The sequence below is a fragment of the Homo sapiens genome, chromosome 20, assembly GCF_000001405.40.
Source record: "Homo sapiens chromosome 20, GRCh38.p14 Primary Assembly".
In the NCBI taxonomy this organism is placed as follows: domain Eukaryota; kingdom Metazoa; phylum Chordata; class Mammalia; order Primates; family Hominidae; genus Homo; species Homo sapiens.
Window position 1 is genome coordinate 58,601,678 of NC_000020.11, and position 16,094 is coordinate 58,617,771.

At 52.6% G+C, this 16,094-nt stretch overlaps 1 long non-coding RNA gene across 1 annotated transcript in view, besides 1 other annotated feature; it reads left to right on the forward strand.

The window, feature by feature from the left end:
* APCDD1L-DT (APCDD1L divergent transcript) overlaps positions 1–16,094 on the forward strand; it is a 104,514-nt gene that overhangs the window by 86,299 nt on the left and 2,121 nt on the right. The gene's annotated exons all lie outside the window — the stretch shown is intronic.
* Positions 8,322–8,823: an enhancer, noted in NCBI's record as "H3K4me1 hESC enhancer chr20:57185055-57185556 (GRCh37/hg19 assembly coordinates)". NCBI's record gives its function as "activates a minimal SCP1, AML or CMV promoter by ChIP-STARR-seq in primed H9 embryonic stem cells {active_cell/tissue: H9 hESC(primed)}" and the evidence as "EXISTENCE:reporter gene assay evidence [ECO:0000049][PMID:30033119]".

Sequence of the window (16,094 nt, forward strand, 5' to 3'; positions counted from 1 at the left end):
TTTCAATTTCTTAATAGGGTCCTTTGAAGCACAAAAACTTTTAGTTTTGAAGAAGTCCAGTTTATCTATTTTTTATTTTATTGCTCATGCTTTTGATGTAGTATCTAAGAATCCTTTGCCAAACCCAGGTTATGAAGAATTCCTCCTATGTTTTCCCCTAAGAGTTTTATAGTCGTAGCTCCTACATTTAGCTCTTTGATCTATTTTGAATCAACTTCCTGTACGGCATGAGGTAGGAGGTTCTACTTCATTCTTCTGCATGTGGATGTCCAGTTGTTCCATTACCATTTGCTGAAGAGACTATTCTTTTCCCCCATTGAATGGTTTTGACACTCTTGTCAAATGGCAGATTTTTTAAAGGTCAAGTTTACGGAGGTATAATTTATCTAGATTAAAGTTCACCCTTTTTAGGTGCATAGTTCCAGGAATTGTGATAAACACATGCAATCTTGTGACCACTGCCACAGTCAAGATATAGAACAGTGGCATCACTCCGGAAAGCGTCCTCTGCCTCTTTGGAGTCAAGCTGCCCCTAAAATCCCTCAGTCCTTGGCCCCCAGAAACCACTGGTCTGTTTTCTGTCCTCCTATTTTTGCCTTTTCCAGCCTGGCATGTGGTGGATCATATGGAGCTGGAATCACACAGTACTTAGCCTTTTGAGTCTGGCTTCTCTCACTCAGCAGAATGCACCCGATATCCATCTGCATGGTGCCTGTATCCGTAATTTTAATAATGAGCGGTGTTCATTGCAAGGATATATCACAATTTGTTGAGGGACATTTTGTTGTTTCCAGACTGGACAACTACAAATAAGGCCATTACAAACATTCACATGCAAGTTTTTGTAAACGCGAATTTTCATTTTTCTTGCGTGAGTACCTGTAAGTGGGATGGCCAGGTCATAAAATCAATATATGGTTAACTTTATAGGAAGCTGCCAAACTGCTTTCCAAAGCAGCTGCACCATTTTACATTTGTACCGGTAATAAATGGGAGGCCTGGTTGTTCTATATCCTCATCAGCACTAGCTATTGTCAGATTTAAATTATTTTTTCTATTCTAATAAGTGTGTAGATGTATCTCTGTATGGTTTTAATTTAAGTTTCTCAAATGAGTAATGATGTTTAGCATGTGTTTATTGTCGATTCATATATCTTTTGTGAAATGCTGGTTCCAATCTTTTGCCCATTTTCTTCAGTTGTTTTTCTGATTCCTGTGCTGAGAGAGCTCCTCCTATATTCTGAATATATGTGTTGTTAGGTATGTGTCTGGCAATCATTTTTTTCCAATTGTGCATTGTTTATTAAGTATCTGCTACTGCATAACAAATTGCTCCCAAACTTAGGTAATTAAAATGATATACATTTATTATCTCACACAGTTTCTGTGGACCAAGAGTTCAGAAGCAGCTCAGCTAGGTGGTCCCGGCTTGGGGTCTCTCATGAGTTTGCAGTTAAGGTACCAGCCAGGGCTGCAGTCATCTGAGAGCTTGACTAAGTTCAGAGGATCTGCCTTCAAAGTGGCTCATTCATGTGGTGCTGGTCACTGGCAGGAGGCTTCTGCTCCTTTCCACACGGGCCTCTCCAGAGCACTGCTTGAGCACCCTTACGACATGGCTGCTGGCTTCCCCCTGAGTGAGCACCTAAGGCCTCTCCAGAGCACTGCTTGAGCGTCCTTACGACATGGCTGCTGGCTTCCCCCTGAGTGAGCACCTAAGAGAAAGCCAGGCCTAGCCATGACCTAGCCTCAGAAGTCACACATGGTCATTTCTACAAAAACCTGTTTAGGTTAACACAGGTCAGCCCTATTCAATCTAGGAGGACATTGTACAAGGGCATGAATGAACAATAATATGTGAGACTATTTGAAGACTGTCTTGGTAACTGGAAACCGTGTTTGTATTTTCATTTTTTCAACAGTGTTTTTCGAAGAGCATCCTGAGTGAATTTGATTCTCCCTTCTCAGCCTCAGTTTCTTTACCTTGAAATGGGGCTGATGATCCCATCTTCAGGCAGGAATATTTTTCAAAGCACTTTGTGGACCACACAGTCCCTCATCTCCCTTCTCCTTCCAGGCTGTCATCAGCTCCTTGAAACTATACTCTAGCTTCTCCCAGACTCTAAGACATCCATTTTCTCATGAATTCATTTGCTGAAAACATTCCTGGAGCCTGAGCTGTTCCAGATGCTAAATGCTGGTGATTCCACAGCAGACAAAAGAAAATTCCTGCTTTCATGGGGCTTCTTGTGAGGACAATGACACTGGGCCAACACAAAAATGAAAGTTGATCAGAGCAGCACCATAGCTCGGATGGCATCCATGGAGCACTGGGCGCTGGGTTTCATGTAATCCTGTGACAATCCTACAGTGAAGCAATGATCAGCTCCTTTTTATGGATTTTATAAATGTCCAGAAAGATGAAGTGATGTGCCAGGGTCATAGAATTAGTCCAGGGACTGGGACTCTGCACTGTCCGCCTCTAGAACCTGGGGGAAGAGAGTCAACTCCTAAAATTCCTCAGCACCAATGAGGGGGCTTTGGATGAGGTGGGGTGGCTACTGGATTGAAGAGGAGAGGGGACCAACTCATGAGCTCTGGCATTGCTCCCAAAAAGCCCCTCGGGACCCCCATGGCCTCCTCCACCCACACGCACACAAATCCCGGCAGAGCTGCTGACCCCTTGGCTCCTGGTCGGGGATGAGCCAAGTTTCACAAGCAATTATATTTCATGCAAGATAAAACTGCAGAGGAGACGCTTAATTAGATTCTTTCCGAACCTTAGGTTTCTTTGAAATGAAACAGCCCCAGGGCTGTGAGAGTTATGTGTATGTATGTATTCCCCTGCCCAGAAAGGGCTGCTCTCCAAGGCTGGAACGAAAACAGAGCTGACTGCTGCTCCATTCCCTGCAAAGGTATCTGGACTGGCTCCGGTGCAGCCCCTAGCCCCCCTGCTCCCCAGCTCTGCCCATCCATCTGGCCAACGCGGGCGGGAAGCGGTCCCAGTGGGGCAGGGTGAGCCGCTTCTCGCTCGGTTGATGCCAGGTGTTGGAGTCTGAGCCCAGATGGCCCTGGTCTACCGGGAAGGCCTGCCTGGGGCAGGGGCTCCCCCCGGGGGTCCAACCAGCCTGTGGGCCTCCTCCACCAGCCTGCCCTGTCTGGGCCTCAGTCTTCCCACCTGTGAAAGCCGGCAGGGACCCTGGGAGGTGCAGCTGGAATGTGAGTTTCCTGAGGGGAGGGACCTCACCTGTGTTTCTAATGTGGGAGCCATGAACTTGAAATAGGGTCAGCGTGCAGTGGACTCACAAGGACCTGCTCAATTTGGGCTCCTAAAGGGTATGAGTCCATAGGAGAGCTCTTGTTCTTCAGGCATCTGTGCTACCTGGAAAAAGAGTTGCCAGGATAAATGCAGGACACCCAGTTAAATTCTAATTGCAGGTAAATAATGAGTAATCCCTTAATGTAAGTATATCCCAGGAAATATTTGGAACATACTTATGCTAAAAAGTTATTCATTGTTCACTCGGAATTCAAATTTAACTGGGTATCCTGTGTTTTCATTTGCTAACTCCCTACCTGGGGAAGTTATCAGCTACCCAGAGATTCAGGGTCAGTGGAGGCGAGGTGAGGCCCGGGCATGTGCATTTTTGTCTCGTTTCCTGGACATCCTGATGCTCAGGGTCCTTCATCCACACTTGGAGACACATGCAGTGTCTCCTTGGGGCCAAGCTCAGGAGTTGAGGATGAATGGAGGAGCAGGTCTTCCCTTCGCCTCCCCAGTTAACACAACACGTTCCCTGCCTTCCCTGTCAGGGCCGGGGTGGGTAGCATGGTGGGGCCGCTCAGAAACATGGTTTAAAGCCCTGGGGTGCAGAGTCAGGCGGTCCTGGGTTCACATCCCATCTTCTCTACTCAGATCTGAGCAAGTTCTTGAGCCTCTCTGGCCTTCAGTTTCTTATAGAGAGATGGAAACAGGAGCACTTCCCAGGCTGCCACAAGGCTGGATGGAGGCCACAGCTGGGGACTGCTGAGCACAGTGCTTCTGTGAATCATGATGTCACGGAAAGACAGTGACAACAGCAGCCCTTGCTGCGGCACATGGAGCATCCCTGTGTCTGGCGCTGTCGCAAACACTGCATTTGCTAAGTGAGCTCTCTGCTTGCCTATGCTTGGAGTCCTCATCCTGACCGGGCTCACTCTGGCTTCCCTCGGCCCCTAGCACAGGGTCCTCAGGCTACACGGCAATTACAGCACTCCTGCCGACAAAAGCTGCCTGCTTACCAGGATGGGCTGAGCACGTGGGCCAGACCCAAGGCACCCTGCAGACCTGGGACGAAACCTGGTCAGTGGCAGGGAAGAGAGGGGGTTCCCTATCCCGCCACCCACCTCCCTGCCACATCCTGCTTCCAGGCTCATATCCCAGGCCCAGAGGACACAAGGATGTCACCGGGTGGCAGAACAAAGGCCAAAGGGAAAACGCAATCCCAAGCCTGCAGCGGGCACCCACACTCTCCACCCTTCACCTCCCACATCTCCCCATCCGCACCCCACATTTGAGCCAAACAAGGGCTTCCAAGGATGTTAAAGGACAACCCTCAACTAGCTGGCAGCAGGTTTGGCGTGCTCATGTCACGTGCAAGTAAATGCGTCTAAGCGGGGACATAAGCCACAGTGGAAGGAGCAGAAGACGGAGCATGGTGAGCACCACATGCGAATTCCAAGCCCTCAGTTCTGTCCTGCCTCCCTTCACTCTGGCCTGGTCTACGATTACCCCTCCTGCCACAGGCTGTGGGAGCTCCCGTGCAAATGGGAGAGGGTCCTTACCAGGAGGATAAGGGAAGGGTTCATGAAGACCCCAGAAGAGGAGGAGGGGGTCAGGGGACAAGGATTTATGGGCATTTAGCCAACACCATCTGAAAGAGAGGTGCTAAGTCTCAGGCCATGATTTCTGGTGGGTTCTGTTGTGAATCAGTTATTTGGTCAGACTCCTTTAGGGCCTGGTAGATTGTCACTTAATGTTTCCATCTCCTGGGTGGTAGTTCTCCGACTTCCGCTCTCATTCCGCTCTCATTTCAGCCTTTTGAAGGCCCGTTGACACCCCAGAGTCCTTCACAACTACAAGTACAACCCTGGTGTCCTTCACAGCTACAAGTACAAGTCATGGGGAGCAGAACCAAGGATTCCAATCTGATGGAGAGTCACATTTACCCTTTCAAACAGATAAGCAGGCATAGAGTGTATTATACATCAGTTTCTTGTGACTTTGGTTGATGTGAGTCCATCCCCCCAAAAAAGACCAATAAATTCTGGAGCACCTGTAAGACCTTATTTTTTGCACCTGAAAAGATGTGGTCCTCCTTTGAGGGCTTTCTTTGGGTGGCCAAACTCTCACCCCTCTTGACTTTAGGCACCAAGCTTTGGGCTTTATTTCAAAGAGAATTCTGCATGTATCTTTGTAAATAACATTTGCATCATGCTAAGAGTTTGCTAATGACTTTCATACATGATTCTGCATGTCCTTCTGTGTACCCTGTTGACATTTTTGTATTGAAGTCTACCTTGCTTGCAACTATAGCAAATGTCTTGAACAGTTAATACTATTAGGTTGAGCCCTAGGAAATTGTCACTACTGGACTTGTTTGATCTACATAAAACAGCAGTTTCCTATGGTTCAGCCAATAACAACTACCATTTCCAGGGCTCTGATCACACAGGCAGGCCCCTAGTAGTATCATTGGCATTATTGTTGTCATCGTCCCTGTGAGTTTCAGAGAGGTTGAACATCTCACTCAAGGTCACACGGCAACAAATACAGGAATCATCACTTGCACCTGGAGGGCTCCAGGGAGGCCCTGGGTCCCGCTGGACCACATCTTTCCACGTCGCACTGTGGCCCTGCTGTTTCCCCGGCCAGGTCACCTTTGTCTCTTGCCTGTTGTATCTCAACAGCTTCCTGGCTGGTCTTGGTTCCTCTGGTTATTCTCCACTCTGCAGCGAAGACACCCACTGCTTAAAAGTCTCCTGAGGGCCTCCGAGGGCCTGAGGGAAAAGCGCGGCTCAGACCCTGGCTCACAGGGTCCCCCCTTCTTGCCCGATGCGTGCTACACTCAGGCCATGCTGGATTTCTTTTGAGTTTCTCTGCAAGGGCACGGACTGGCTCACCATTCAAGTGGAATGATGGGGACAGCCATGCAAACTGCACCAGTAGCCTAAGCCATTGGCTCAGAAAATGCCAGCTGAGCACCTCCTATGTGCAGGCACCTGGGTAGACAAGGAGAAAATCAGCAAAGCCCGGTCCTTCCCAAACTCTGTGCGAGCACGGGAGGTGATCACCCGGTAAACAAACCCCATCGTGTCACGTCCACACAGGTGCCACGCCAGGAAAGTAGAGCGAAGGCAGAGAGGGAAGAGCTGGCCAGGGAAGCCTCTCTGGGGAGGTGACATTGGAACAGAGCAGAAACATATCCAGAAGACGATCATTTCAGGGGATGGGAGCGGTGAGTGCCGAGGTCCTAGGGCATGAACTTGCACCCTGAGCTGGGGGAACTGCAAAGGTCCACAGGCCCCAAAGCAGGGGCTTGAGAGGATGGGAGTGAGGACCGAGAGGTGGCTGAGCTCCATTACAAACCACCCATGGGAGATGTGGCCCTTGGCACAGCAGCAGCACCTGGAGACACCGAGGCAGCACCTGGAGGCTTTAGGACACAGCGCTGTCCCCATCATCATAGGGAAGCTTCCTGGGGGATGTCCCAGCCAGGGTCCATTAAGGGTCTGGCCTCATTCGCTGTCTGTCTGTCTGTTCATTCTTCACTCCCTCCTAGCTTCTGCCCCAGGCCCTGCCTCGTGGGCTGAGACTGCTGCCTGGCACTTCCTGCCCCAGCTGAAGGAAACCAGGCAGCCCACACCTGCCATTCGGGTCGCATGTGTGGGCCTGGGGCCCGGGGTCACTGTCGGGATGGGCTCAGCAGGTCCTAGCTTGCTGTGTGGAAGGCCTGGGGCCGCAGAATGCCCCATTGTTCATCAGGACGTGGAGGCCCAGGCCAGAGATGCCAGCTATTTTGGGTGCTGGGCGAAGGCCTGGATTTACTTGCCACAAGCGTTTTTCTCAGAAGGAAGGTCAGTGGGCCCAGCCTGGGAAGTCAACCAGTCCCACCTGGCTCCGATTCTCCCCCGTGCTCTCAACGTCCTCTCTGCAAAAGACAGGGGCCAGGGTGTCTGTGCAGTGCCAGTCGGGAGGTCTGGGTGTGTGGTGGGGGGCAGTGACTGTGTTTTCCAACTGCAGAGGCCACAGTGGGCCTCCCAGAAGCACCTACCACCTCCAATGAGCCCCTTCCATTTCAGGGAGCCCACCTGTAGACCCCCGATGCTTGAAAAACCCTGATTAGGAACTCCTGGGCTGGTGCAGCACCTGGCACATGGAGCCAGGTAATAGAGCACATACATACATCCTATGTTCAGTCCGCAGCCGGGATCAAGCTGTCTTTCCGAAGCCCGCACGAGTGTCACAGCCGTTCCAGACCGCTCTTTGGGTCAGGGGCTCCCGAAATCACCTGCTTCTAGGAGCACGCACACACATGGGCATGGAGGCATTTGGTTTCAGAAAGGTCAGAGGCCCCAGATCAGATGATTCTGGTGTAGGTTTGTGGCCTGCCTAGGCTGGAGGACTGACTTCAGCATTACCACCAGGACAGGTGGACTTGGGTGGGGCCGCTTCACCACTGCCGAGCCATGCAACCTGGGACAAGCCCTGGACCTCTCTGAACCTCAGGCTCATCACAAAACAGGAATCATCATCCTCCTCACCTATGGAGTTGTTGAGGAATGAATGAGTTCATCTGGGCAGAGCATGCAGTCCCAACAGGACGGAATTTGCTTCCCAAGGGGGAAAAACATATTTTACTCTTTACATTTAAAGCATGGATACCTGAACAGTACCTAAACAGACACCCAGTATACCTGTGGCGTTAAAGTGTCATCGGAGAGAGCTATTAGGAAAAAATGCCTTAAAAGCCTCCTTGCAGGGGTGAAGAATGGCAAAAGCTTACAAAGATGGTTCCTGGAACACAGCAGGTGCTCAGCAAACTTCAGCTGCTTTGCTGTTATTACTACTCACAGCAGGTGTCACAGAGGAAGGACTGGTTGCAAGCTTGGGTTTAGGAGCCATACTGTTGGAGGTCCCTTCCTGGCTCTGCCACTTGCCAGCTGTGTGACATTGGGCAAGTTGCTTGACTTTTCTGTGCCTCAGTTTCTCTCATCTGGAAGCAGAGCTAATTAGAGCACCTGTCTCGTGCAGTTTTGTGTAGATTAGATGGGTTGATTTGTGTGGTATGTGTAGTTCAGTGCCTGGCACACAGTAAACACTCAGTAAATGCAAGCTATGATTATTATTGATTAAGATTGTTAATTATGACATGCAAGGAACTTGGGGGTCAATGGTGCTCATTGAGGGGAAACTGTAAGGAAGGGTGAGGTTCAAGGTTGGCCCCTAACTGCTTCTCCTGGGCATCTGGTCTGGCTCTAGCCTCAACCACTAAGGGCTGTCCTGGGCTCCAGAGGAGGGGCCGGGTGCCAGCCTAGGGCAGGAGCACCAACCGAGCACGTGAAGCACTTTGCACAGTGGCAGGGTGCTCAGGACTCTATGGAACACCCCTATCTGAGCACTGACTTCAGAGCAACGTGTCCTCCATGCATAACCCAGCTCCACATGCAGGGAGCCTGGGCCACTGCGGCCAGCTGCCCCCTTACCCTCTCCATGCCTGACCTGGCTGAGGTGGGGAGGGAGGAGTCTATCCCCTTCACACGACTTCCCAGACGGTGAGCCCCTCGCTTTCCTGGTCCGGACCCACAGTGAAGACTCGCTCTCCTGGGATCCCACGGAGACCTTACGAGGCCCCACGTGGTCCAGCCTGCCCGCCCATCCCTGCTCATCAGCCCACTGGCCACCCACTGCTCCAGAACACAGCAAGCCTGTCCCGCCTCAGGACCTTAGCACAGGCCATTCCACTGCCTGGAACTCTCTCCCCGTGGCTGGGGCCTTCTCAGCCTCCAAGTCCCCCAGTCAACCGTCCCCTCCCCTGACAGGCCTTCCCAGACCATCCAGGGTGAAGTGGACGTCACACGCCCTCCCCTCCCCTCCCCAGGTCTTCTCGTCATCATATCCCTGTTTCATTTTTGTGTTGCTCTAATCACGAACAACCATTCTCTGTGTGCGTGTTTCCTGTCCTTCTCCCCGTGAAAGATGACAAGCTCCATGGGCTGGGGGCTTTGTCTTGCCTGCTTCCTGCCCGCCACTTCCCAGTCCAGGGCCCCGCCAGCCCTCAGTACCTGCTTGTTGTGGGGATGAAGCCCACCGAGACCTTGGCTGCGCTCGTCATTTGCTGCGGTTGCCATCCCATTTTACAGCTGTAGACACTGACAGCAGAGATTCCTTTTGTGTCAATATCTCAGGGAAGTTTCTGGAACCCCTACCCAGGACCCAGGGAAAGGACTCTGCCTGGGAGGTTTCAGAGGGCACAGGAATGCAACACTGCTCAGGCCCTGGCACTTACATTTCTCTGCAAGGAGCATTTTCCTAAAATTTGTCTGTTGCCTCTGGACGCGTAAGCAAGGTGACTAAGGGACTCAGGATTTGATTAGGCAGCAAATCCGGATAAACAGGACAGGTGGCACTAATCAGAGCTGACGACTAGACAAGGCCTGGGAGGCCCTCAGGCTCTGTGAGCTCAGAGCACCTCTGTGGAAACTTCCTTCTGCCCGGTCCCCAGAGAGGATGGCCACAGCAGCACCCTGCCTGGCTGGGACGTGGCTGGATGGGGCACAGGCCTGGAGACCATGTGGCATGCACCCTGCCACTGAGCCCCCAGGTGGAGGTGCCAGGGGAGGGAGGTGGGGCTGCACAGGGTTTCTTGGCTGTCTCCAGCCAGTGGGGGACACTGAGCTTGAACTGGGCAGGTGACGACTTCTCTGGGCCTCAGTTTCCCCCTCTCTAGAGGTGATGAGTACAGGCCTGGGCTCCTGGCCCTGAGGTCCTAGGAAATGCTCTGTGCTGCAGACAGTCCATGAGGCCAGGACTGGCTCTGGCCCAGCCTGGTGTCTCCCAGGGCATGGAGGGAACACACATTCACTTCCAGAGAGCTGGAGCCTGGGGCAGGACTCTTGCCAACAGCCCCCGGCCAGAACCTGCAGGCCTCCCTCAGGTCCCACCTGGAGCCACCTGCCTGCCATGCCTTCCTGGCCTCGTTCCCCCATGGTAAAACAGTCACTGTGCCAGCCTTGGGCCAGGCTCTGACCTAAGTGTGTGTTTGTAAAGCAGTAGCTTCCTTTTTGCCTTCCAACAACCCGCAAGCCAGGAACTGTCACTGGCTCTCGTGTCACAAACGTGGTTTGAGGAACGCCTGCAAGGTCTCATGGTTAGAAAGGGCAGAGCTGGATTTCGGACCCATGCTGGCTTGAGAGGAAGACTCCCTCCCTCCCTCCCTCCCTCCTTCCCCCCTTTTCCTCCCTCCCTCCCTCTTCCTCCCTCTCTCTTTTCTAGTGACCAGAGCTTTCACTGATCAGCTAACAGTATTTGGCTAGCTCCCCAGGATCTGCTCCTCAATCCTAAATGGGACAGAAGTCTTGGCCACCAAGCGTGCCTGTGTCCCCCGCCAGGTTGAGGGGCAGAGGGTGCCACTGTGGCCCCCCGTGCCTGGCGGAAAGCACACCCCGGCTGGGTTCTTAAATCCGTAAGGTCACAATCAACAAGTGAAGGCACCCTGAGGACCCAAGGGCAGAGAGTTCCAGGAGGCGGCTGCGGGAGGGGCTGTCTGGGGCCCCCTCAGGCCCGCAGGGGTCAGGGCCTGTTGACTCTGGCGTCCTGTGAATAGACTCTTGCAAAGCCGCCATGTTCTCTGCTTCCTTGGGGAGGCACCTTGTCTTCTTAAGTCATTCCGTTGTGTCGATAATGCCTATTCTTTCCACGGGGCCATCTGCCAAGGTCAATGTTTGTGTTGTTTTAAAAACTTACATTGTATCACTGTGGGAACTTGAGTGTACAGAAACCTTTTTTTTTTTTCCTTTTAAGGAGGGGGCTGGGTGGGAGGTGGAGGTAGAAAAGTTTTCTCACTTTTCCTCTATTGCTTTAACATAAGACACCATTTGGATGGCGTTGGCTTCCCGAAGCTCCAGATATTTGAAGCTGTATTCACCGCGTGTGGTGCTTGCTTCTCCCTCCCCACCCTCTGAGGACACAGCCACTGGCCATTCCCTAGTAAAAAAAGAAAAAGGAAGAGAGGGACAGAGGGAAGAAGAGGTGGGAGCTTCCTAGAGCACAGACCCTGATTAATGTTCCAGGGAGAAAGGTTAGAGATATGTACTCAGGAAAGAAAATGGGAAAAAGGCCAGGTGCAATGGCTCATGCCTGTAATCCCAGCACTTGGGGAGGCTGAGGCAGGAGGATCACTTGAGCCCAGGAGTTCGAGACCAGCCTGGGCAACATAGTGAGACCCTGTGTATACAAAAAATACAAAAATTCTCCAGCCGTGGTGGCATATGCCTGTGGTCCTAGCTGCTTGGGAGGCTAAGGCGAAAAGATTGCTTGAGCTCGGGAGGTTGAGGCTGCAGCTAGCTGAGATTGTGCCACTGCATTCCAGCCTGGGCAACAGATCAACATCCTGCCTCAAAAAAAAAAAAAAAAAGAAAAAAGAAAACAGAAAAGGAAAAGAAAAAGAAAAAAGGTGGTGGGGAACCATCTTGGAACGAAATTCACTCCATGTTTGTCTGAGCCTGTCTGTTTCTGCAGAAGGGAGAGAGGGGTGATTTTAATTGAAAAGGACAAAATTAAATAAGGCCCGGACTTCAGGTACTCAGGAGCCTCATGGACTTGTCCCCTGGCACAGTGGCTGCCGCTGCCACCTCATGCCAATTACGCGGCCGGCCAACACCATCAGGGTCCCCAGATTAGATGCCAGGCCCCTGGGCCTGCTTTAGTCTTGGGCAAACCAGGAAGCTGGCCGCCAGCAGCCCACAGCCCTGAGATGCCGGGAATTTGTTTCTCCAAAAATGCCCTGATGAGGCCGGTGAAAAGGAGGGAAAGGCCTGACACGGGCCCTGGTTCTCCCGGGACACAGTGGCCCAAGGCTGTGTCGGCCCCAGCCCCGGGAGAGGTCAATGGCAGGAGGGTTTGTGTGGGGATCAGACATGAAGCTGGGCAACAGCAGCAGACAATGGGTCCTGAGGCTGGGCCCAGACCTCTTAGGCCCCATCAGCCACCTCCTCCAGGGAGGACTCTTTGATTAACACTCACTGGGCCCTTCTGGCTTTGGCTGGTATGAGAGGAAACCTTCCTTCCCCACTGCCTCCTGTCCTTCCACAATTCTTCCTAGAGCACTGGATGCTGGGGGCCCAGAGACCCCAACACACAAGTCCCTCAGAGTTTGCAGTCTAGTGGGTAGAGAGACGACGAATCAGGCTCTCCCAGCAGCCCTGAGCTAGGGAAGAAAGGACAGAGTGTCTTGGGGGCAAAGAATGGGGCTAGGGGTCAACAGGGCCCTTCTGGGGCTGGAGGAAAGATAAGCGGGAGTGAGCTAGGCAAAAATAGGGGTGCGGTGCTTTAGCACACGCAAAGAACAGGGTGCCTGTCTCCTTAGGGGCATGAGAGGAGGGAGCTGCAGCCTCACGGTGGGGTGGGAGATGCTGCTGGCAGCAGAGAACAGGCTGCTTGGGAGCCGCCCTGACATGACAGGGGCCTCAGAGAGCCCTAACTTCAGCAGCCCAACCCTCACACATCTGCCTATACATCCGCACTGGAGCAGGCAGAGGCTTGGCCTGGGAGAGGGGCTCCGGCAGCAGCAGTAGCCCCGGCAGCCTGTGCACGGAGCCTCCCTGGGTCCCGGGGTCACTAGTGAGGCTGCTTTGCCCTTTCTTCACAGGGTGACCCACCTGACTGCTCAGGGCCGCACAAGGGCCTCCATGTGCTCCCGTCTCTAGCAGGTGAGGCTACACGGGCGGCTCACTGCCTCACCCATGCGTCCCTGGGTGCTCCAATGGCACCGAAGGCAGTAGGGATGCTCCGCCACTTTGGGGTATATGCAACGTGCAGCCCTGCAGCCCTTCATCCTCCTCCACCCTGGAGGCTCAGTCAGAAGTGGGCACATGCACCTCTGTCCCGAGGTGAGGAAGCTGAGGCACAGGAGTGCAAGGGGCACCCCAAAAGCCACCAAGCTCCTAAGCAGTACACCTCGGACCTGAGCCCATGTTGTTTGGGATTTCTGTTGGAGGACAACTTCCATGAGTCTCTGCCACTAGCTCACTCTGTGACTTGGGGCAGTGACTTCAGCTCTCTGAGCCTCACCATTCTTGTCTGTCAAATGAGGCTAATGGCTGTGCCTCCCCTGTAGAGTCACAGTGGGGAGTAGGGGGTGATTGGTATACGTAAGGCATTTGCAACTGTGCCTGGCGCAGGTGAGCCCCTACCTCGTCCTCGCGTCTCCCCTCTGGCCCCAGGATCCTCTTCACTGTGGGCCTAGATCCAAGTTGCCTGGCACCAGGTCCTTGCATGAGCTCATGTTTGTTTAGAAATGAGAGACACGGACCATGTGGTTGTGTGTGCCACCTCAGCAGTATATGTGTCAATCAACAATGTGCTGCCAATCACCGGAGTGTCCTCCGGGTGCAAGGCGAAGCCATTTTGCTTGCCTTTGTTCACTGTGACCTCACAACAGCCATCGTCATTTCACCAATGAAGAAACAGAGGTTTTAGTGGCCCAGCCATTCAGCCAGCGTCTCACGGCCGTTGGGCAGGGGACCCACAGTCAAGCTGATCCCAGAGTGTACCCCCCCTCCCCACTATCACCACCCACAGCCCCACAACGGACCATGGTGTGCTTTCCTGGTCATCATGGACACTATGTGTGTGTCCGCCGGGCCTGTGGACTCCGAGAATGCAGGCAGCACGAACCCACGCCTGGGATCCCCACTGTCTGCAGGGTGCAAACGGTTCCTCGGCCCAACAGGCCAGGGCTGGGCTGCTTTGAGGGAAGTACAGGAAAGAGTAGCCAGGACAGCTGTCCACACGCTCTTCCTCTCCTTAATGTGTTTCCTCTGACCAAGAGCAGCGAGGCAGGTGGGCAGGGAGAGCTCAGGTTGGTGCCTGGGCCCAACCGTGACGCTGTTTTTAGAGGAATGAGTGTGAAATGCTTTCCATGCAAAAGGGAGAGAGAAAGGGGGAAAGGACCAGGGGAGAGGCAGAAGCCACTGGCTGAGTATAGGACACCCCAGCTCGGAGCTGGAGGCAGCATGGCACCAGTATGGTTGGCACTTCTGGGGCCATGGAGGCAGGGCAGGGGCCCACGGAATGCTAGATCTTAGAGACCTGGCAAGGAAAGTGGGGTGGAGGCAGATCAAGGGGCTATGTTTGGGTTCAGGGGCCCTAACCCATCAAACGGTGCAGGTAACGGCTTCCTTGAAGAGGCTGGGTGAGCTGGGACCAGGAACATAGCTCAGGTGACCTTGTGGGGCTGAGGCTGGCACACAGCAGGGTCACCACAGCCATGGGCAAAAAAATGTGTGCACCTTGTGCTGGAATTCTCGCCATGCTCTGAGCTGGTATGCTGTCAGACGTGGGGGTCTGCTCCCCAAACCCTGCTCTGCTTCTCCTCTCCCGAGGTCATTTGGCCAACAGTGATGGAGCAACCCAGCATCTCTGATTGCTGGTGTTCTTTGGAAGGTTTGAGGAACTGAGAGGTGTGGGCCAGCCATGCAGATCAGTGTGAGAGGGAAGACCCTATCTTGTCCCTCTCCAGTCCCCGGGCATGTCAGGAAGCACTCCCTGAATAGGTGCTGTGTAAGTGGACCGAGGGTTCGCTCTCTGCCCAGCTGGGAGCCAAGTCCTCTCTGTGGAGTATCTCATTTCATCTCCCACAACCACCTCGAGACAGATCTCGTGGCTGTGCCATGAAGGACTCAGGGCTCAGAGAGGAGCATTGAGGTCACAAGACGAGGAAGTGGCTGAGTCCAGACCTGAACCCACCATTGTTTCTAACAGCTGCATTGAGATCTAATTCATAGGCCATGCAATTCACCCATTGCGATGGCTTTCAGTACATTTACAGAGCTGTGTAACCATAATCAGACTATATTTTAGAGCATTCACCCCCAAAAGAAAGCCCATTGCGTTAGCAGTCACCCCATTCTGCTTCTGCCCTCCCCTCCAGCTCAAAGCCAACACAAATCTATTTTCTGTCCCTATGGCCTTCCCTATTCTGGACATTTCATGTAAATGGATTTATACAATATGTGCTCCTTTGTGTCTGGCTTCTTTTACTTAGCATAACATTTCCGGGGTTCATCCATGCTGTGGCCTGGATCACCGCTTCCTTCCTTTTTGTGGCTGGATGATACCCTGTCATCTGGATGAACCATGTTTGTTGGTGCGATGCATCAGCTGATGCACACTTGGACTATTTCTACATTTTGGCTAGGACGAATATTGCTGCTATGAATACTTGTCTGCAAGTTTCTGTGTGAACCTATGTTTCCATTTCTCCTGGGAATGCACCTAGGAGTGGAGTGGAATAGTACGTCATGTGGTAGCTCTGTGTTTAACTTTTTGAGGAGCAGCCAGATCCTTTTCCAAAGCAGCTGCACCTTTTATGTTGCCATCAGCAGTGAATGAAGGTTCCAATTGCTCTGTCTCCTTGTCGACACTTGTTATTGTCTGTCTTTTTTATTTCAGCCATGGGCATCACATGGTCTCTTGTGGTTTTGATTTGTATTTATTTGTTATGTTTACAATATTGCTTTCCGTACATCAGCTGTGCTTCTCTCAAGGCGGCAAGAGTCCCCCACTGGGTGGGACTTTCAAGGTTTGGATTTGAAGTCTAAGTGTATCAGATCGTATCTCCTCTTTTCTTGTCAGCAGTCACTCAACACTTACACTCCTAAGCACCTATGGAGTATCTGCACCTTCCTCCTCGTGAGGTGAGGGTTGAAGGTGAGAGCCAGGAGAGGTCCTCACCCTCACAGAACACACAGAAGCCAACACTGACACAGGGCACATACTGGAAGAGGCGGAAACACACATGGAGTCAGTGTCCTTTTAGGAGGGCTCTGAAAGACAA